The following is a 22,954-nucleotide window of genomic DNA, read 5'->3' on the forward strand; positions in this document are numbered from 1 at the left end:
GGTAGTGTCACAGTTCTGTGACCGCTCCTGCAGAGAACAGGAGCTCAGGGCACTGCTGCAGTCATATTTATACCCACTTTTAATTGCATGCAGATTAATGGGCAGTTTATGCAGAAATTTCTAGGAAAAGGGTGGTAACTTCTGAGTGCTCAGGTCATTGCCATAGAAGAGGCCAGTAATGCCCAGATGTTGCCATGGCAATGGTAAACTGACATGGCATGCTGTTAGGCATGTCTTATGGAATGCTGCTTCCATGTTTTAGCTAGTCCTCAGTTTGGTCCTCTGTCTGCTTCTGCTTCTTCTTCTTACCATTCCTGGGCTCAAGCAATCCTTCTGCCTTGGCCTCCCAAAGTGCTGGGATTACAGGTGTGAGCCACCACATGTGGCCAACAATGAATGTTCTTTATTTTATTATACTTTATATTTTGAGATAGAGTCTCACTCTGTCAGCCAGGCTGGAGTGCAGTGGAGGCGATCTCAGCTCACGGAAACCTCTGCCTCCTGGGTTCAAGTGATTCTCCTGCCTCAGCCTCCTGAGTAGCTGGGATTACAGGCACACACCACTACAACCAGCTAATTTTTGTATTTTTAGTAGAGACAGGATTTAACCATGTTGACGAGGCTGGTCTCGAACTCCTGACCTCAAGCCATCCACCTGCATCAGCCTCCCAAAGTGCTGGGATTATAGGCGTGAGCCACCGTGCCAGCAACAATGAATGTTCTTAATATCACCAGCCTGTGCACTTAAACATGATTTAAAATGGTAAATTTTGTTATGTGTTATTTTACCATAATTAATTTTTTATTTTTATTTTTTTGAGATGGAATTTCCCTCTGTCGCCCAGGCTGGAGTGCAGTGGGAGATCTTTTCTCAAAAACAAAACAAAACCCCAAAAAAAGACCGAACAAACAAATGCAATAACAACATCTTTTGCAATTTTTGAAGTTTGAAGATTACTTATTTCACTCAGAGCTCCCTTGTATTACTTGTCTTTAATGCTGTTCTCAAATTTGTGTGTGTGTGTGTGGAGGGGGGGGCAGCTAGCAGGTCCTACATCACCCCAAATCCATGATTTTCTCTTTATTCAATTCTGCAGTGGTGCGATCTCGGCTCACTGCAACCTCCGCCTCCTGGGTTCAAGCGATTCTCCTTCCTCAGCCTCCCCAGTAGCTGGGATTACAGGCGCCCGCCACCACACCCAGCTAATTTTTTGTATTTTTAAGTAGAGACAGGGTTTCTCTATGTTGGCCAGGCTGGTCTCGAACTCCTGACCTCAGGCGATCCAGCCGCCTCGGCCTCCCAAAGTGCTGGGATTACAGTCGTGAGCCACCGCACCCGCCCCCATTCTGCTATTTCTTATCCCTCTTTGCATTGCAGCCACACTGCAATGTAAATGAACCTTTGACCTAAATGAACCAATTAATTATGCCCCCACTTCACTAATGGGCCACTAGAGGGCGTTAGAAAAACATTTCTCAACTACTCGGTCAATGCGTTCAAGCATGCCACAGGTGTTCTTGCTAGAGACTTGTCATTGATGTTTTCTTGAGCCATTAGAAGGAAATGGCCATGAGGAAAAGACTCGGTTTGCTTTATGTTAATCCAGGGGATATGATGGTAGATAGGTACCAACCAGACATGTCCATTTCAGACAGTCAAAGTAGCCAATCTGTCCTCCACAATTCAGCATTTTTAGAGAAATAAAAAATGGTGCTGAAACATGCAGAGTCTAAAACTGAATGTCTGCTTTTCAAGTTCTTTCTAATTATTGGCTAGGGAAAAATCAGTGTCACTTAACTTCTCTGTAGTGCAATGTCTCAACTTTAAAATGACTACAATAGCAAATGCTTCATAGAGTTGCTGCAAAGATTACATAGATAAATATGCGAAAACACAAGAGGCTGGAACGAGCACTTTAAGATGACAGTAATTTTATTTTATTACAAGAAAGACTGAGGTTGAATTTTCTTAACCCAGAACTTAGATTAGGAAGAAGTGGTCATTAAAATATACCATGCATTATTACTTATTATGGTCACCATTCTGTGCAATAGATCTCTAAGCTTATTGCTCCTGGGAGGGGAAAGATTTATTGACTTGCCTGATGTAATCATTCCACATTGTGAACATATATCAAAGCATTCCATGGTACTATATATATAATATATATAATATTTTATATAAAATATTATATATAATATATATAATATTATATATAAAATATTATATATATAATATATATAATATTATATATAAAATATTATATATATAATATTATATAATATATATTATATATAATATTATATATTTTATATAAAATATTATATATATATTATATATAAAATATTATATATAATATATATAAAATATTATATATAATATTATATATAAAATATTATATAAAATATATATAATATATATATATTATATATATTATATATAATATTATATATAATATATATAATATATATATATTATATATATAAAATATTATATATAATATTATATATTATATATATATATTATATATATAAAATATTATATATAATATTATATATAATATATATATTATATATATAAAATATTATATATAATATTATATATAAAATATATATAATATATATAATATTATATATAAAATATATATAATATATATAATATTATATATAAAATATATATAATATATATAATATATTATATATAATATTATATATAAAATATTATATATAATGTTATATATAAAATATTATATATAATGTTATATATAAAATATTATATATAATATATATAAAATTTATCAATTAAAAATAAAAATAAAATGCTGACAAAATAAGAGGTGTTAAATGAATGTATAAGAAACATGAGGTAGCTGAAGTAGGAGTCTTACTCAAACCATCTGCCCTGATCTGTCTATCATCCCATGCTGGGACATGAAAAGGCACATATTCAGAGGACTGGGGGAATTGAGAGAGAGTGAAGGACAGACAGAGTCTTCATCAGGGACGCTCCCACATGGGAAGCCTCCTACCATGAACCTTAAAGACGTGAGTTCTGGAAGGTGTCTGAGAAGAGATTTTCTGTGGTTTTGCCAGAGAGCTGGCAACGAGGTGATGGGAGCAAACCCTTCCTTCATTATTATATTTTCCAAAACTCACAGCATTATTTTGGAGAATTGTTAAGGTAGTAGGAGGGAGATTTAAGAAATAGCCCCAGAGTGTCTTTGTGTTTGCTGCCCTGCATGTTTGCCAGGAAGAACATATTCCTCAGGTATTAGTCTCGTGCTGCTGATAAAGACATACCCAAGACTGGGTAATTTATAAAGGAAAGAGGTTTAATGGACTCACAGTTCCACATCACTGGGGAGGCCTCACAATCATGGCAGGAGGCAAAAGGCACATCTCACATGGTGGCAGGCAAGAGAGAAAAAAGAGCCAAGTGAAACCTCTTATAAAACCATCAGATCTCATGAGGCTTACTCACTACCATGAGAACAGTGGAAACCACCCCCATGATTCAATTATCTTTCACTGGGTTCCTCCTGCAACACGTGGCAATTATGGGAGCTACAGTTGAAGATGAGCTTTGGATGGGGACACAGTCAAACCATATCACCTGAGGTATGGAGAGACTGAAGAAAATGAATGTGCCATTTTTGATCTTTACAGAGGGTTTCAAATTTGCAAATGCTCAAAAATGTTATCCCTCAAAGACCTTTGAGGAAAAAGTTAGTTGATTGACTCCAGCAAAATGGAATGTAATACAAGAAAGGCGAGAGTAGACAAGCACAGTGGCTCATGCCTGTAACCACAGCATTTTGGGAGGCTGAGGTGGGAGGATCGCTTGGGTCCAGGAGTTCAAGACCAGCCTGGACAACATAGTGCAATCTCATCTTTACTAAAAATTCGTTTAAAATTGCTGAGTGTTTACTAAAAATTTGTTTAAAATTGCTGAGTGGCACATGCCTGTAGTCCCAGCTACTCAGAAGGCTGAGGTGGGAGGATCACTTGAGCCCAGGACATTGAAGCTGCAGTGAGCTATGACTACACTACTGCACTCCAGCCTGGGTGACAGAGCAAGACCCTGTCTCAAAATACTACTACTACTACTACTAATAATAATAATAAAAAGAAGAGAGTACACAGGAAGCAGTGCTGAATAAATAAATGTATAAAACAAAGTCTGAATGTGTTAGTGCACAGTTGTGAAAATAATCTGGAATTAACATTTCACATGGGAGGTAATTGAAAGAGCAGAGAAGAAAGAGAGAATGAGCATATGTTCATGTTTTTGTTTCGTCTGGGAAGAAGACATAGGTAATGACTATCTTTATATTTGATAGAAAATATAAGCTTAAATACGTGTGCTGACAGGTGAAAGGTGGTTACCACCAGAAAACTAGAAAAGATGTGTACAAGTTTCAGAGCCTTAATGGGAAATGCGTGGATTGAAGAAAACCTGATTCATGCAATCAGAGGTGGGTGGGAAAGAATTACACCGAAGAAGCAGAAAATCTGATATGTGTAAAAAAGGGAAAATAATATAAAGTGAAACTGCAGGACTCAATCCAAATATAACCATGATCATAATAAACATGGATGGATTAAAATTCCTTTAAAAAAGATAGGCTTTCTGAATGGGAAAATAAACATAAAATCCGGACATACGGTAGTGTAGGAGGCAGCTTAATTAAAAACAAACAAAATGTTGAAAATAAATGGATGCATTTGATATGATTCTGTTCCACTATCCAATCTAAGTAATGGTCAATTATTTTATAGATTGTTCTTCAGTTTTTTTTTTTTTTTTTGAGACAGAGTCTTCCTTTATCCCTCAGGCCGGAGTGCAGTGGTGCGATCTTGGCTCACTGCAACCTCTGCCTCCCAGGTTCAAGCAATTCTCATGCCTCAGCCTCCACAATTGCTGGGAGTAGAGGCACCTGCCACCACGCCCGGCTAGTTTTTGTATTTTTAGTAGAGACGGGGTTTCACCTTGTTGGCCAGGCTGGTCTCGAACTCCTGATGTCAGGTGATCCGCCCGCCTCAGCCTCCCAAAGTGCTGGAATTACAGGCTTGAGCCACTGTGCCCAGCCTTCAGTTTGGTTTTGTCCAGTGTTTTCTCATGATTAGACTGAGGTTATGCATTTTTGGCAAAAAAATCATCAGAATTGATGTAAGTTTTCAGTGTGTCATGTTACGGAGTGCATGATGTCTGTATGTCCTGTCCTGGTGATGTTAAATTTCATCACCTGGATTAAGTGGTGTCTGTTGGAATTCTCCACTGTGAAATTATTATTTTTTCTGATCCAGGAAAGGTTAAGCAAGAGTCTGGCACCATTTTAAGTCTAATAAGAAACATTTACTACCTGATTTCTCTGAAGCCTGCTACCTGCGGGCTACATGTGCATAATAAAAACTTTGGTCTCCTCAACGCCTTATCCTCACCCAGACATTTCCTTTCTACTAATTACAGGTCTTTAATCAGAAAATCCTGGAATCCACCTACGACCTGGAAGTTCCTCACTTTGAATGGAATCCCACCTTTCTGGACTAAGCCAATGTACATCTCACATGTGTCGATTGATGTCTCCTGTCCCCGTAAATTGTATAAAGCCAAGCTGTCACCCAACCACCTTGGGCACTTGTTCTCAGGACCTCCTTGGGGCTGTGTCGTGAGCCATTGGTTAAATGAATAACTCTTTTCAAATATTTTACAGAGTTTGACTCTTTTCATGGACATTAATTGGTGCCCTACACGTGGGGCCTCAGAAAAGACTCAGAATCCTTGACGCAGTTGCCCGAACCCGGAGCTAAGTTACCCGCAGGGCCATTGGAAGCCCTCCCTGGCTTTAGGTTTCTCCTCCAGTGGAACCGGTGAGTCCTCTGCAGCTCTGGACCTTCCATTTGGTTGATGGTCCTTGGTTCATTCTGAGCTGTTTTTCTACCTCCTTTTTATTTTTCTCCTAGGAAGTTGTTGTATAGGATCCTACTTTAGGTTTGGTGGTGCATTCTAAATGGTCTTCTCCACTGCCCTTTTCCCCCCAAATTAATGTCGATTGGCCTGTGAGTACATTTGCGTGAGAGACTGAACTGCCACTTTTGTGGCATAATTTTGAATTGCCAAACGAGAGGCTGACCTCCTCAGCTTGGAAAAGAAAGGGAGTTTTGCTCCTCCTAGCCAAAAACCACCCCTGGGTGGTAGGGGTTGAGTGGGAGTCTCTGGGGGATTGACTCCTGCCATGATGTGCAGTGACCCTACAGGGAACCACACAACAAAATTAATTTTAAGAGGCTCATCCAGGAGACAGGTGTAAGAGCTGATCACTTGCTATGTTGAGCCCTGTCAGAGGTCTAGACCTCTGGAGAGAGAAACTCAGACACGTGAAAGGGTAGAAAGACTCAGTGGTGACACACAGTGTAGTCCCTCTCACAGCCAGCACACTTCAATCCACCCTACTAAAACCCAGGCCACAGTTTAGTTCCTCATTTTAAAATAAAAGTGGGAGACATAGCATGTAAGGATGAGGAAAGGCGGAGAGAGCGACCCCCATTTGGGCACCCCTTTTGGTTCTCTGGTTCCTCTACTTGCAAGTATTTGTGTAAGCGGGAAAAGCTTGAGGGCATGCCAGGTCAAACAAGAAGCTTCCTGTTACATATTATGTCTGTGCTTGTTCACACTTTAAACTGCTGCACACATTACACCAGAGAAAATTCCAGCCCAAAGGTCAACCTGCAACCAATCAGTTCCTAAGTCCTCTATTTTGCTATTTTCTTTTCTGCCTACTTTAAATCTTCTGTTTACTTTTTGTTCTTTTCTTTTCTTTTCTTTTTCTTTTTTTTTTTTTTTGAGACAGAGTCTTGCTCTGTCACCCAGGCTGGAGTGCAATGGCGCTATCTACTGCAGCCTCTGCCTTCCAGGTTCAAGCGATTCTCCTGCCTCAGCCTCCCCAGTAGCTGGGATTACAGACGTGCGCCACCACGTCTACGTAATTTTTGTATTTTTAGTGGAGACAGGCTCTCACCATGTTGACCAGGCTGGTCTCGAACTCCCGACCTCAAGTGATCCGCCGGCCTCGGCCTCCCAAAGTGCTGGGATTACAGGCGTGAACCACCACTCCTGGCCCTTCTGTTACTTTTCCACTGCTGTTGAGATAGAAGTCACTGTTGGGATCCAACCTTTTTGTTTGTATAAACTGGTGAGTTTGTGTTGATATCTCTTGCTAGAGTTCTGAAGTAAAAGCTATAGGATCTTTGTGTGAGTGTGCATGCGTATTTAGATGTGTTTATGTACATGCACATATGTGTGCACATATACATTTTTTACGTGCTTTAGCCCTGAAGTGTCAAATTGGCTTCAAGTCAAAGAGTACTCATAAATTAAATAATAAGCCAAAACGCTTTTCAAGTTCACGTGACTTACATAAATCTTTAATAAATAAGCTGGCTTTAAAATTATTGGTACGATAGTATTAGAAATATCTTAAAAATTGTCAGCATACATGTTTGTTTGCATTTACTGATCAAGCAGTTTCATATTTACCTCTGACAGATATTATAAGGTGTCAAAATTTGGCATAAGGCTTACAAAACTATAAACCCAGCAACCCAGCATGAAACACAATAATCTTTGTTTCTGTACTTTTTGAGAAATAAGACGTTTAATGTTATTAGTGTAGTAAAAAGAGCTAAATCCCAAGTTATCAGTAAAATATATATATATTTAAAATTTTTGCTTAGGCAAACACAGAAAATTCATAGACTATAAAAATGGTTAACAGGGAAATAACTTTAAATGATGACTATCAGAGTTTTCACAGATAATCTAGGTAAAAGATTTTATAAAATTAATTAGGTAAATGTAATGAAACAAATGCCTGTAAATAAATATAATTTAGAATCTAAAGTTAAATAATAGATATTCACTAAATGTCTGGGCCATTTTCAATTTAAATAAATTGTATTATAGAAAAACTTTTCTAAAAAATATGTTCTTATTCAAAGCTAAGTTATTTTCATCTAATTCCATGTTTATTTATTTATATTTTTTGAGATGGAGCCTCGCTCTGTCTCCCAGGCTGGAGTGCAATGGTGCAGTCTCAGCTCACTGCAACCTCTGCCTCCCAGGTTCAAGCGATTCTCCTGCCTCAGCCTCCCTTGTAGCTGGGATTACAGGTGCCCACCACCATGCCTGGCTAATTTTTGTAATTTTAGTAGAGATAGGGGTCTTGCCATGTTGGCCAGGCTGGTCTCGAACTCCTAACCTCAGGTGATCCACCCACCTAAGCCTCCCAAAGTGCTGGGATAACAGGTGCAAGCCACCGCACCCGGCCAGATTCTAGGTTTATTTAAGGGTTATTTATGAAATATGGTAAAAGGAACCAAGAAACAAGAGATGTAAAGAAAGTTAGGCTGCGTGCATTGGGTCACACCTGTAATCCCAGCACTTTGGGAGGCTGAGGCAGGCGGATCATGAGGTCAGGAGTTTGAGACCAGCCTGACCAACACAGTGAAACCCCACCTCTACTAAAAATATAAAAATTAGTCAGGCATGGTGGCATGTGCCTGTAATCCCAGCTACTCAGGAGGCTGAGGTAGGAGAATTGCTTGCACCCGGGAGGCAGAGGTTGCAGTGAGCCAAGATCGTGCCACTGCACTCCAGGCTGGGTGACAGAGCGAGACTACTCCATCTCAAAAAAAAAGAAGAAGAAAGTTACAAGGAGGTATTTTTGGTAAGAAATGTTAAAAGAAAAATAATTTTGTATGAGAAAGAATCTTGTTGTTTAAGAGAGATGTTTAGGACAGAACAGAAAATCCAAGCAGGTTGTATATGGTCTGTGCAAGTCATAATACAGTCTGTAAAAAAGGAATTCAAAAAAATTTTTATGTAATTAAGTTTGCTATAACTAAAAGGAAATTATAATCATTCTAGGTATTGGACTTCAATAATAAAAATACAGTAATGCAAAAGGAGATCATTGGTTAGAACAAGATTTTCTTAAAATACTGATGTACTCAGTGAAATTGCAAGAAGTTTTTTATTTTTGAATTCCATAATCTCTTCTTGAAATTCTTCAGATGGACATCCTAGGGGTTCCACTTCTGCTGCATCCTGCTTGCCTCAGAGCTTTCCCTCTTTTGAAAAGGCCTGGGATGGTAACTCTCTCCTTCAACTTTTGCTGGCTCCCGTAATTTTTTAAAAATTAATAGTCTAAAGGAAGAGAGAGAATTTTTGAAAACAGGCAAGTGAAAAATGTTATAGGATGTGCCTCTATCTGTGTGTCTGTCTATAAGTTTATTTATTGTCTGTTTGTTTGATTGATTTGTTTATTTTGGAGACAGGGTCTCACTCTGTCACCCAGGCTGGAGCGCAGTGGTGTGATCTTGGTTCACTGTTCCCTTGAGCACTGGGCTCAAGGGATCCTCCTGCCTCACCTCAGCCATCCATGTAGCTGGAACCACAGGTGCATACTATCTCGCCCAGCTAATTTTTTGTATTTTTTATGTAGAGATGGGGTTTTGCCATGTTGGCCAGGCTGGTCTCAGTCCTGAGCTCAAGCGATCCACCCGTCTTGGCCTCCTAAAGTGCTAGGATTACAGGCGTGTGGCACCATGCCTGGCCTTGTCTGTAAGTTTCTATCTGTCATGAGGAAGTAATATTTCAGTACCAAATTATATGAAAGAGCTCTAATCAAATGGCTTAAAGAAAAGTAAGTGCTTATCAGACAACCAAAAGCTAGCTCAGATGCTTTTAATTGACATTCCTTTAGTAATCTTTGGTAAGACTAATTTGGTAAATTTAATTTCAAAATCCTGTCCAGTGGTTTAAAATCTTAGAGTCACGTTAGATGGGACTGTTCCCCTGACCTTGACCCCCTTCGTGGGCAGGAACTGGAGTGGCTCATGTTACTCAGCCTGCAGTTTGTGGACAGCTATGTGTTAACAGCTCAGTGAAGGGTCAAGGTGACAGCCTTCTGCATCTGTCCTTTTGGACACCGACTTCTTGTTTGGTGTCCAAGAATCATCAGGTCACACAAACTGAAAGATGATGAATGTGGAGGACTTTATTGAGCAGTGGAAGTGGCTCTTGGTGGAAGAGGAGCTGGAAAGGGGATGGTGTGTGAAGAAGGTGATGTTTCTCTGAAGCCTAGCCTTCTCTGGCTGGGCTCCCCTCCAAAACCACACCGTCTGAAGTTAGTCATGTTTATCTGTAGTCTCCAATGCTCAGTTACTTCTCTGCTCGCCACTCAGTAGCTTGTATCCCTGCCGGTCAGCTGCTTGTGTTGCTTTTTTCTTTTTCTTTTTCGTTTTTCTTCCTGCCAGCTGGTCTGGTCCTTATGGGCACAGGATAGGGGGCAGGGCAGGCCAAAAAGGCAATCATCTGGGCAGAGAAACGAGGTCAGCTGCTTTCACTAGGGCCGAGCTTCCAGACTTGAGGTTGTAGTTTAGCCGGGAGCCCAGCCATCCTGTATCAATGTTAGATTAAATTAGGCAATCCTAGGTTTTGCACTGGAAATTAGGGTTACTGGGAGTTGGAATAGTAGGAGAGTAAGATGTATTTTTGGTGAGGTTTATAAAAACACAAAGATGTGGTTTTTGCCAAAGAAAATGTAATGTTTAGAGGCTATTTAAAGGTCACTTTAAAATAAATGGAAAATTATGTAGATAAAACTCATTGGAGAAAGAGAAAAATAAAGAGGTGGGGAATGAGAAACCTTTGACTTTTGGGTGGCCACGTGGTCACACATGGTAATGAAGTGGCATCATTTTCTGGGGTAAATACCCGAGATTCATTGTCTCATGGCCACAGAAATCGAGGACGTGGACACACAGAATGAGGTTGAGAGCAGAAGTTTAGTAGGCAAAAGAAAGAGAAGAGCTCTCTGCAGCAGAGCGGGGTCCTGGAGAAGTGGGTTGCTGCTTCTTTGCTGAAATGCAGCAAGTTTTATAGATGAGCTTGAGGAGGCAGTGTATGATTTACATAGGACGCAAAAGATTGGTTGGACCAGGTGTACCATTTTCATAGGGCATGTAAAGCTGGTTAGGACTAGATGTGTCATTTGCATAGGGCATGAAAAGCTGGGCTAATCTTTTTTTTTTTTTTTTTTGAGATAGAATTTTGCTCTTGTTGCCCAGGCTGGAGTGCAATGGCGCCATCTCGGCTCACTGCAACCTCCACCTCCCGGGTTCAAGTGATTCTCCTGCCTCAGCCTCCTGAGTAGCTGGGATTACAGGTGCCTGCCACCACACCTGGCTGATTTCGTACTTTTAGTACAGATGGGGTTTCTCCATGTTGGTCAGGCTGGTCTCAAACTCCTGACCTCAGGTGATCTGCCCACCTCGGTGCCTAATCTTTTATTATGCAGATGGACTCTTTACCTGGCTAGTGCCATGTCGCCTGTTTTTTTTGTTTGTTTTGTTTTGTTTTGTTTTTTGAGACGGAGTTTCACTCATTTTGCCCAGGCTGGGGTGCAGTGGCGTGATCTTGGCCTAATGCAACCTCTGCCTCCCGAGTTCAAGCAATTCTCCTGCCTCAGCCTCCTGAGTAGCTGGGATTACAGGCATGTGCCACCACGCCTGGCTAATTTTTGTATTTTTTTAAGTAGAGACGGGGTTTCACCATGTTGGCCAGGCTGGTCTCGAACTCCTAACCTCAGATGATCCGCCCGCCTCGGCCTCCCAGAGTGCTGAGATTACAGGCGTGAGCCACTGCGCCTGGCCTCTGGTTTTTTACTGTACACGTGGTGACAAAGAAAAGGGAAGACGGAGCCTCCATGTTGAACATACCTGGCTTCCAGGTAGCCCTTTCCCATTGGCACAGCTGCCAGCATTTACCCATTCAAGCTTCCAGCTTGCTTATTATCTATGCCTGCAGCTCTATTTTCCAGGCTGCTCTTTGTTAAAAAGAAATGATTTGGGGGCTCCTTTTTAAAAAGGGAAATTCTGCCAAGGACTCTTTTACCCTCACTATCTGCCTGAATAATTTCTTTCTAGTTCCTCTATCAGTAAGGAGATGCAGCTGGCTTGTCTTCAGTCACTAAAGGTCAAAGCCACCAGAGGAATTTAGAGATGGATCCTACTCATAGTCCCAGGGAATTTCGTTCACTGGATATATAGCAAATGCAAATTAATAAGGAAAAAGTGAACTATTCAATCCCTTGCTTACTGCCTCTGTAGTTGCTAAAATGAAAGTAAAAGAGTGCTGCCTTGGGCGTGAAGGCAGCACCAAGCTCAGATGTGGGTCTGTCTCAGATCAGGCCAGTGACCTCAAAGCTTCCTACACAAGGAAAAATTAAGCCACGTCAACCAAAAGTTACCTCTGAGACCTGTGATTACCAAGAAGATAGACATGTGGAGGAAGGGCAAAACCAAGTAACTATTAAACCCAGAGGGTATTTACAGGGCTGTTCAATCTTTTGGCTTCCCTGGGCCACACTGGAAGAAAAATTGTCTTGGGCCATGCATAAAATACACAAACACTAATGATAGCTGATGAGAAAAAAAAAAGGCAAGAAAATGTCGTAACATTTTCAGAAAGTTTACACATTTGTGTTGGGCCACATTCAAAGCTGTCCTAAGCCACGTGCGGCCCGCGGGCCGTGGATTGGACAAGCTTGAAAAGGAATTGGTTCATCTTCTAGATTGGTATCGTCAGCTTCCTGAGTTCCCTTTTCTAAAATGGGTTGTAAGAATGACTACTTTAAGAACAGTATGTTTAATTTTTTTTTTTTTGAGAAAGGGTCTCATTCTGTCACCCAGACTGGAGTGCAGTGGCATGATCTCAGCTCATCGCAACCTCCACCTCCTGGGTTCAAGTAATTCTCCCACCTCAGCCTCCTGAGAAGCTGGGATTACAGGCACACGCCACCATGCCCGGCTAATTTTTCTATTTTTTGGTAGAGATGGAATTTCACCATGTTGGCCAGACTACTCTTGAACTCCTGACCTCAGGTGATCTGCCCACCTTGGCCTCCCAAAGTGCTGGGATTACAGGCGTGATCCACTCTGCCCACCGATATGCTTAATTTTTAAATGCCACAGAAAGAAAGAGCATGTTTGGGCTGGTGCAGGGCCCGCAGCTCACTCACTATTAAACACTTGCTGATGAGTGTATGGGACCCAGATGCACAGGAAGTTTTTCCTGAGGAAATGGCCAGCCTGGTGGACTAGGTAAACACCACTACAAGGTCTGTTTATCCTGAAAAGGGGACTGCCCAGCCCTCCCTATAAAATGCCAAGTGGAGCACCCTAGATAAAGCAGCTGATGTGCTTCATATGCAAGCCATGTGGGATTGGCTTAATGATGACCGGGATATTCACCAGCTGAATATGCCCATTACCCAATGTATTAGTCCGTTTTCATGCTGCTGATAAAGACATACCCGAGATTGGGCAATTTACAAAAGAAAGAGGGGTAATTAGACTTACAGTTCCACGTGGTGGGGGAAGCCTCACGATCATGGTGGAGGGCAGGGAGGAACAAGTCACATCTTACATGGATGGTGGCAGGCAAAGAAAGAGAGCCAAGCGAAAGGAGTTTCTCCTTGTAAAACCATCAGATCTCGTGAGACTCATTCACTACCACAAGAATAATATGGAGGAAACTGCCACCAGAATTCAATTATCTCCCACCAGGTCCCTCCCACAACAATGGGAATTATGGGAGATACAATTCAAGATGAGCTTTGGGTGTGGACACAGTCAAACTATATCACCGAGGTCATAGTGTGAAAGGAAAATAAATCTCAGGACCCCAAAATCACTAAGCCAAGGGAAAAGTCAAGCTGGGAACTGTGTCAGGCAAGCCTGCCTCCCATTTGATTCTTAAATAAGACAGCTACAAAGATAAGAAGCTACATACCCCCCTCACAATTTGTGCTTAAGGAAATTCCTTGTGGACAAAGGACAGACGGAACTCAAAGTCATCCTTCCAAGGCTCCCCTGAGACAAATGCTTATCTGATAACTTCCTCTGCCTCATTGCTTATGTAAAAGTACAGATTCACGGAGCCAGCCTAAATTGTGTATTCAGTGGAAAGCTGATCAAGGACTCAAAAGAATGTAACCTTTTGTCTCGTGTCTACTTCTAATCTGAAAGCTCCCACTTCAAGTTGTCCTGAATTACTGAACTGAGCCCATGTATGTCTTACACATATTGATTGATGTCTCATGTCTCCCTAAAATATATAAAAGCAAGCTGTGCCCTGAACACCTTGGGCACATGTCGTCAGGACTTCCTGAGGCTGTGTCACAGGTGCACGTTCTCAACCTTGGTAAAATAAACTTTCTAAATTGACTGAGACCTGTCTCAGATATTTTGGGTTCGCAATAGATTCTCAGTGTATTAATGATGTTAGGTGAAGAACTGTGAAGCTCATAAATTTGGAAAGGAAAGGTTTATTTCTATAAATGTTGTGGTTCAAGGGTCCCCTTCTACAAGAGCACCCCAGGTGACATTACTCTTGCAGAATCAAACAATGGTTTGAGAAACCTTATCAAATTTGCAGTTGTAGCTTTCCCTCATGGGTCTTACAGATGCTACCAAAAGACTAGGGTGTCAACGAGAAGAGACAAACTGTAAATTTTTTTAAGAGGTTTATTCTGAGCCAAATATGAGTGACCATGGCCGCCCGTGACGCAGACTTCAGGAGATCCTGAGAACATGCGCCCAATGTGGTCTGCGTACAGCTTGGTTTTCTACATTTTAGGGAGACATGAGATATCGATCAATACATGTAAGACGTACATTGTTTCCATTCAAAAAAGGTGAGATAACTCAAAGTGGGGGATTCCAGCTCATGGATGGACAAGACACAGAAGGTTGCATTCTTTTCGGTCTTTGATCAGAATACACAATTTACATGTGACGGAGGTTGGGGGGTGGGGGTGGTGGGTAGAGGAATAGTGACTGATGCCTGTTCAGTGAATCTGCAAGTTTGCGTAAACAATAGGGCAGGGGAATCTATCAGATATGCATTTGTCTCAGGTGAGCAGAGAGGGCTGACTTTCACTTCTGTCTCTCCTTTGACCCACACCTGTGAAGATAAGCCAAGGTGAAATTGAACAGAACTGTTTTAGGGTAAAGATCTTGAGGTCCACAAAAAATTTCTTTGTGGGCAAATTATGAAAGAGGTATGTAGCTTTTTGTTTTGTTTTGTTTGTTTGTTTGTTTGTTTTTGTCTCCATAGCTGTCTTATTTAGGAGAAAATGGGAGGCAGGTTTTTCTGATGCAGTTCCCAGCTTGCCTTTTCCCCTTGGCTTGGGGATTTTGGTTTCCTTTCACTAATTAACAAACAAAATTAATAAATTAACAAACAAAAACAGGGAAGGGAAAAGTGAGTCAAAGGGCTCATGCCAGAAGGGTGGAAATCTTTAGATAATTATTTTGTTATTATTATTAATTTTTCTTTTTTTGAGATGGAGTTTCGCTCTTGTTGCCCAGGCTGACATGCAATGGTGCCATCTTGGCTCACTGCAACCCCACCTCCCAGGTTCAAGTGATTCTCCTGCCTCAACCTCCTGAGTAGCTGGGATTACAGGCACCTGCCACCACGCCCAGCTAATTTTTTTGTATTTTTAGTAGAGACGAAGTTTCACAATGTTGGGCAGGCTGGAATCTTTAGATAATTGTTAAGAAATAAAAGAAAAGGAAAATTGATGGAGTTAAAACAAAAGACTTTACAACATGATCAAAGGTTGGGTGGGCCACAGGGAGCCCCAACTGGTCCCCCAACATGAAGGGGCCCCATGCCAGTTTTCTTCATTTGCCTCAGATTGGAGAAGTTTAAGAAAAATTGAGGCTGGGCATGGTGGCTCAAGCCTGTAATCCCAGAACTTTGGGAGGCCAAGGCAGGCGGATCATCTGAGGTCAGGAGTTCGAGACCAGGCTGGCCAACATGGTGAAACCCCGTCTCTACTAAAAATACAGAAAAATTTGCTGGGCGTCGTGGCACGCACCTGTAATCCCAGCTACTCAGGAGGCTGAGGCAGGAGAATCGCTTGAACCCAGGAGGCAGAGGTTGCAGTGAGCAGAGATCATGCCATTGCACTCCAGCCTGGGCAACAAGAGCGAAACTCTGTCTCAAAAAAAAAAAAAAAAAGTTTTAGAGCAGGAATGAAAAGAAGGAAAGTACACTTGGAAGATGGCCAAGTAGCTGACCTAAGAGATCAAGTGTATGGTTGACCTTTAGACTTGGGGTTTTATAGGTTGGCATGCTTCTGGAGTCTTGTGTCCCTTCTCCGCTGAGTCTTCCCTTGGGGTTGGGCTGTCCACATGCACAGTGGCCTGCCAGCACTTGGGAGGGGAGCATGCGCAGTGTGTTTACTGGAGTTGGACGCATGCTCACTTGAGGCGTTCTTCCCTTACCAGCTGAATGTTCCTAGAAGGTTATAGACCAGTTAAACTCCACCGTTTTGCTTCTCAGTGTGCATGCTTGAGCCCACTCACTCACCTCCTGAGATCGTATTGGGAAACTGCTGACCACCAGTTTTAGGTGTTTTCTATTTACTGGGAGACGGCCTTTCCCTGGTGCTGACTGTGACCAATTATTATTTTAGAGAGACAGTTTAATAACCGCCTGATGCTCGCCTGACATTCCTGGTGGGGCTGGGGAGAGCCTTTCCTGCCTTGCTCATGCCTGACTAGCTACCTACTGTAACAATAACTGAACTCTTTCTACCGATTTCCAGTGAGAAAATCTATGCATCTATCTATGACCTGCAAGCCCCCACTTTGAAGTGTGTCACCTTTCCTGGCTGAACCAATGTCCATCTTACATGTATTGAGGGGTGTCTTATGTCTCCCTAAAATGCATAAAGCCAATCTGTAACTCAACAACCCTGAGCACATGTTCTCAGGATCTCCTGAGGGCTGTGCTATGGGCCAGTAGTCACTCATATTTGGCTCAGAATAAATATCTTAGAATAGTTTACAGAGTTTGACCCTTTTCATCAGCAGAGGCATACACTCTTGCTATGGGATGTTAACCGAAGCTAATGGAAATAATGGTGTCCAAAAGAGTTCCGTGATGAAACGTAAATGGTTCATGTAGGACCTGCTACCTGGGGAATGCAAAGATAATATACAAGGAGGGAGCTTCTTTTTCCTCTTCAGACTGACTCTGTAACTGTGAGAAGATTTTTGCCTTCCAAAGTTATTAGTGTGTTCATTTTTATCTCTTAGGAAAAAAGTGGCAAAGTTGGAGATGGTGTACACTTTCCTTTATTGCTTGACTGAGGTTAAAAATTTGGCCAGGCATGGTGGCTCACTCCTGTAATCATAGCATTTTGAGAGCCCAAGGCCAAGGATAGCTTGAGCCAAGAAGTTCAAGACCAGCCTGGGCAGCATAGCGAGACCTTGTCTCTACAAAAAATAAAAAAATTAGCTGGGTGTGGTGGTGAACACCTGTAATCACATCTACTTGGGGGGCTGAGGTGGGAGGATTGCTTGAGCTCAGGAGCTGGAGGTTGCAGTGAGCCAAGATTATACCACTGCACTCCAGCCTGGGCAACCAAGCGAGATGCTGTCTCAAAACAACAACAACAACAAAAAGAACAACAAAAAACAAAAAAAAACTTGTATTCTATTGTCTCCCATCAGATTATTTTTAACTAATTTTATTTTAATCACTTACTGTTGAGTCACCTCTGAGATTTTCTATTCCAGTGGCGTCCTTATAAAATGAAGCTTCCTTGTCAACTGCACTTGTTATAACACCGAGCTTCTGCTAAGAAAAAGCAAATGCATAACTCTGTATAACCTATCTCCCATGACAGGGTCTATGCCTCGCTGTATTTAAGCATTCATTTTAGTTTTCAGCAATGTAGTACTTTCACCTATATTTTGTCAAATTCAAACACTTGCAATACTTCATTTATTTTTTCTGCATGTCCTTCATATTTTGGCTTTGCTAGTCCACTTTGGCCAAAAAGCTTTGATTCTTTAAGTATAGGCCTAAATATCCTATCTTAAGCATGGGTGTAATTTTCTTCTATTACCAACAGAGGTTCTTTTATAGTTTTTGAAATCACTGATTAAAAAGAAACAGCTCAAATTATATTCTACTGTAAAAATGATACATTCAGCCTGGGCACGGTCAGTCACATCTGTAATCACAATACGTTGGGAGGCTGAGGCAGGAGGATCACTTGAGTCCAGGAGTTGAGGCTGCAGTGAGCTGTGATCACACCACTGCACTCTAGTGTGGGTGACAGTGAGACCCTGTCTCAAAAAAAAAAAAAAAAAGATACATTCAAAGAAGTCAAAATAAAACAGTATAAAACCTATCTCCCTGATTGCAGCTACCTTTTTTTATGCATACGCCTGCAATCCTTTTACACCTATCACACACTAAAAATGTTTTACAGTTATTGTTATTGCACACAGAAGGCATCTAGGAATGTTTTAAAGAACCTGTCTCTCTGAAGTTCATCCTGCTTATCTAACTTGTCTATCAAGGAAATTATTTTCTTGATTATTATTGCTGAGAAAGACTGGGTGAGGTTGCTACCCCAGAATTAGCAGATGCAAATCAGGAGGAAGTGAACAGGCTGCAAATTAGCAAGTTCTGGCATGGGGTGAGGCAATGGCAGAAAATCGGTTTCCTGGGAACCATGCCCAGGAACTAGCCTGACATTGTGAGAAAGCTCCCAACATTCATAATGAGTTGCATATTAAATTCCAGGGAAGGGCACTGTAGGTAAGATGGACCACATTTGGAAATACACTTTTTCAGACGTTTTATTTAGGGAGAATTTCTGACATGTCCTCCGATAATTTGAACTTCCTTGATTTGCAGTTGTACATTGAGAGATCATTTCTTGGTCAAAATAAATGTTCAGCAGGTGTGAATGCTGTATCCACAACTTTTTTTTTTTTTTTTTTTTGAGACAGTCTCACTCTGTTGCCCGGGGTGAAGTACAGTGGTGTGATCTCAGCTCACTGCAAACTCTGCCTCCCAAATTCAAGCAATTCTAGTGCCTCAGCCTCCCGAGTAGCTGGGATTACAGGCATGTGCCACCATGCCTGGCTAATTACAACTTAATTTTTAAATTTGGGCAGATTTACAAAACTATCAAGCTATTACCCTGCAGCATCCTTAGCCCTAAGCTTGTCACTACTTGTAATGTATTTTTATTTTATTTATTTATTTTTTGAGACAGAGTTTCACTCTTGTCGCCCAGGCTGGGGTGCAGTGGCATGATTGCGGCTCACTGCAACCTCCACCTCCTGAGTTCAAGCGATTCTCTTGCCTCAGCCTTCCGGACCACAGGTGCATGCCACCACGCCTGGGTAATTTTTTTTTTTTTTTTTTTTGAGGTGGAGTTTCGTTCTTGTCATTCAGGCTAGAGTGCAATGGTGTGATCTTGGTTTACTGCAACCTCCACCTCCCAGGTTCAAGCGATTTTCCTGCCTCAGCCTCCCAAGTAGCTGGGATTACAGGTGCCCACCACCACACCCGGCTAATTTTTGTATTTTTAGTAGAGACAGGGTTTCACCATGTTGGCCAGGCTGGTCTTGAACTCCTGACCTCAGGTGATCCACCTGCCTCGGCCTTCCAAAGTGCTGGGATTACAGGCATGAGCCACTGCACCCAGCCTACCTACTGGACTTTTTTTCGGAGACACACTGTAGTTTCTCAAGAAAGAATGCCTGTTCCTGGTCCCAGCTGCACACTCACTTTACAGTGTGTGCTGTACTTGGTCAAGTGTATTGATATTGAAACACAAGCCAGACTGGATGGACCTTGGTCATAAATCATGGGGCAGCTCTCCTTCACTGTCAGATAAAATCCAAATTCTCTATTACTACCTCCAAGGTCCCAGCATTGACGATCTGTTCTTTTCTTCCTGAAGGGACATCACCCCCGGTTCTCAGGGTGTCTCCTCACAGGCTTCTTACAAATGCCTTTCCTCAGGAATGTGGCTCCACAATGACTTTTTTTTAATTAAAAAATTTGCAGCCTACAATCAGCCTCCTCAATTATTATTATTATTATTAATTGTTATTATCATTACTTGAAACAGGGGGAGAGTCTCACTATGTGGTCCAGACTGGTTTCAAACTCCTTGTCTCAAACCATCGTCTTGCCTTGACCTCCCACAGTACTGGGATGACAGGTGTGAGCCCCCGCACCTAAGTGTCCTCTTAAAACCCATGAAGTCTTTTAGGGCTGTCTACTTTTCTCTATGGAATTCAAATCGCTAAGCATTCATGAAAGTTTAGATAAGGTGGAAATAAATCCAACCTTTAGGATGGATGCATGAAACTGCTCTCTTTTTTTTTTTTTTGGTAGAGTTTTGCTGTTGTTGCCCAGGCTGGAGTGCAACGGCACGATCTCGGCTCACTGCAATCTCCGCCTCCCAGGTTCAAGCGATTCTCCTGCCTCAGCCTCCCGAGTAGCTAGGATTACAGGCATGTGCCACTACGCCTGGCTAATATTTTTTGTATTTAGTAGAGACAGGGTTTCACCATATTGGTGGGCTGGTCTTGAACTCCTGACCTCAGGCGATCTACCCACTTCAGCCTCCCAAAAGTGCTGGGATTACAGGCATGAGCCACCACATCCAGCCAAAACTGCACTTAAAATCCAATCTTTGGCCGGGCGCAGTGACTCATGCCTGTAATCCCAGCACTTTGGGAGGCCAAGACGGGCAGATCACCTGAGGTCAGGAGTTCGAGACCAGCCTGAACAACATGGAGAAACCCCGTCTCTACTAAAAATACATAATTAGCCGAGCATGGTGGCACATGCCTGTAATCCCAGCTACTCGGAAGGCTGAGGCAAGAGTATCACTTGAACCTGGGAGGCGGAGGTTGCAGTGAGCCCAGATCGCGCCACTGCACTCCAGCCTGGGCAACAAGAGCAAAACTCCATTTCAAAAAAAAAAAAAAAAAAAAAAATCTAATATTGTCCCCAATTCCTACTTTTGGGAGTAAACTATGCCTATTTCAAACTATTGCTGGACAAGATTGCCTGGTTTCTGCTTCCCCTTATCCCTCTTGTTCAAGTCAACCAGTCAGGAAATATAAAGAATGATCAAGGAAACCTCCAAGTTAACACAGAAATACGTATATATGGTGAATGCTGTCTGCAGACAGCTTATGGCCCCATGGTACTAGCCGTCATAGCACATGGCAAAGTTGTCCTATTGACTCTGCTGTCAGCCCCTGCGTGGAAGACCAAATAAAGGTGCTGGGACAGAAGGATGAAAAGGAATCCTAGGATAAATATCTCATCTTCATCGTCCCTGGGTTGGATAATTCTGAGGGTCTGTCGTTGAATCTCAGTGTTTCTGCACAGCACTCAGCTTCAATAGCCCAGTGGCAAGCTGCTTCATAAGTACAACCTCTACTGGCTTCCTGCCTTTCCCTGTCTCTCTTCCTCTTTCCCTGACCAATGCTCCCTCAATTACCTCCCTAATAACCTACTTGGATTTAAGGTTTGAAAAAGAAATGCGGCATCATTCTTTTTGTCTTAAATTTTTAATTAAAAAAAATTTTTTTCGAGATGGGATCTTGCTCTGTTGCCCGGGCTGTAGAACAGTGGTGGAATTACGATACGGCTCATTGCAGCCTCAAACCCTTTAGCTGAAGCAATCCTCCCACCTCAGCCTCCTGAGTAACTGGGACCACAGGTGTGTGCCACCGTGCCTGGATAATTTTTGTAAAATATTTTTTGTAGAGACAGGGTCTCACTAGTTGCCCAGGCTGGTCTCAAACTCCCAGGCTCAATCAATCTGCCTGTCTCAACCTCTCAAGGTGTTGGGATTACAGGCGTGAGCCACTGCGCCGGGTCGCACCATCATTCCTATTTTTTTTTTTTTTTTTTGGAAATGAAGTTCCCTCTGTCACCCAGGCTGGAGCACAGTGGCGCTATCTCGGCTCACTGCAACCTCTGCCTCCCGGGTTCAAGTGATTCTCCTGTCTCAGCCTCCTGAGTAGTTGGGATTACAGTCATGTGCCACCACACCTGGCTAATTTTTATATTTTTAGTAGAGACGGCGTTTCGCCCTGTTGGCCAGGCTGGTCTCGAACTCCTGGGCTCAAGCCATCTGCTTGCCTCAACTCCCAAAGTGGTGAGATTCCAGGCATGAGCCACCACTCCTGGACGAAGCATCATTCTTAATTTCAATGTCTAGTCTAGACATTTAAAAGAATTGAACATATTGGATCGTATCAAAACAACATCTTGTTGAAGAGAATGACCCTCTCCACCCAACCTGAAACAGATGGAGGCAGTGCTGACTTTATCTCAATCTTAAACAAAATCTGTTTCACTCAATTTTCTTGTAGACAGGCCGACTGCTTTATTAGAAAACAGGAGAACATTGACCTTTTTCTATGATTCTCTTCCGATCACCCTAGGTAGAATTCCTTTCACTTTCTAACCTGTGTCTGTTTCAACCCAGGATACATTAAGCTTGTTGTCTGTGACACTTTATTGAACTTTTTAATAGCCACGACTGACACTGATCCTCTCTGCTGAGAGAGGAGCTATTCTGATTCCATTCATTGTGACTCCAAAGTCTACCCTGGAAGTCAGATGCTCAGGTGGGATTTTATAAATATTCCATGAACAAATGAACTTCGGCTTTGGGGTAAAAGAGTCGGTTGCCCATCATTTGATAGATCCCTGGATATTTTTTCATAAAAAACACCCTAGCAGGTTGCTTATTGCAAAATGACATGTGTCATATCTTCTCTGGAGCTGAATATTGTTAAGCAAAATTTATATTAATGAGAAGCAAAAAAAAGTTTGTTTGTTTTGCTTTGCTTCAGCAAGAATTATCTGTTGCATCAGAAATGCAGGGAGCACTTTTGCTCTTTATTAGCGTTTTTTTCCCCAGAAACTCTGACATTACTAGGACACTTGGTCATCTGTGATCTGCTTAAAAGCTCTCTTCAGCTCCTGGAAGAGTAGGTGGTTCTGATTCTCTTTCGGTGAGATGGTTTATGGAGC

At 42.0% G+C, this 22,954-nt stretch overlaps 1 protein-coding gene across 2 annotated transcripts in view; it reads left to right on the forward strand.

The window, feature by feature from the left end:
- ARSF (arylsulfatase F) overlaps nt 5,764-22,954 on the forward strand; it is a 72,494-nt gene continuing 55,303 nt past the window's right edge. Inside the window, exon 1 of one of the 2 annotated variants that reach the window (NM_001201538.2) lies at nt 5,764-5,871. The gene's annotated coding sequence lies outside the window, so the exon portion shown is untranslated. Of the gene's footprint in view, nt 5,872-7,000; nt 7,194-22,954 lie in introns of those variants that run through there. The other variant, NM_001201539.2, reaches the window with a different exon arrangement.

This window comes from Homo sapiens, chromosome X, assembly GCF_000001405.40.
Source record: "Homo sapiens chromosome X, GRCh38.p14 Primary Assembly".
NCBI classification, from domain to species: domain Eukaryota; kingdom Metazoa; phylum Chordata; class Mammalia; order Primates; family Hominidae; genus Homo; species Homo sapiens.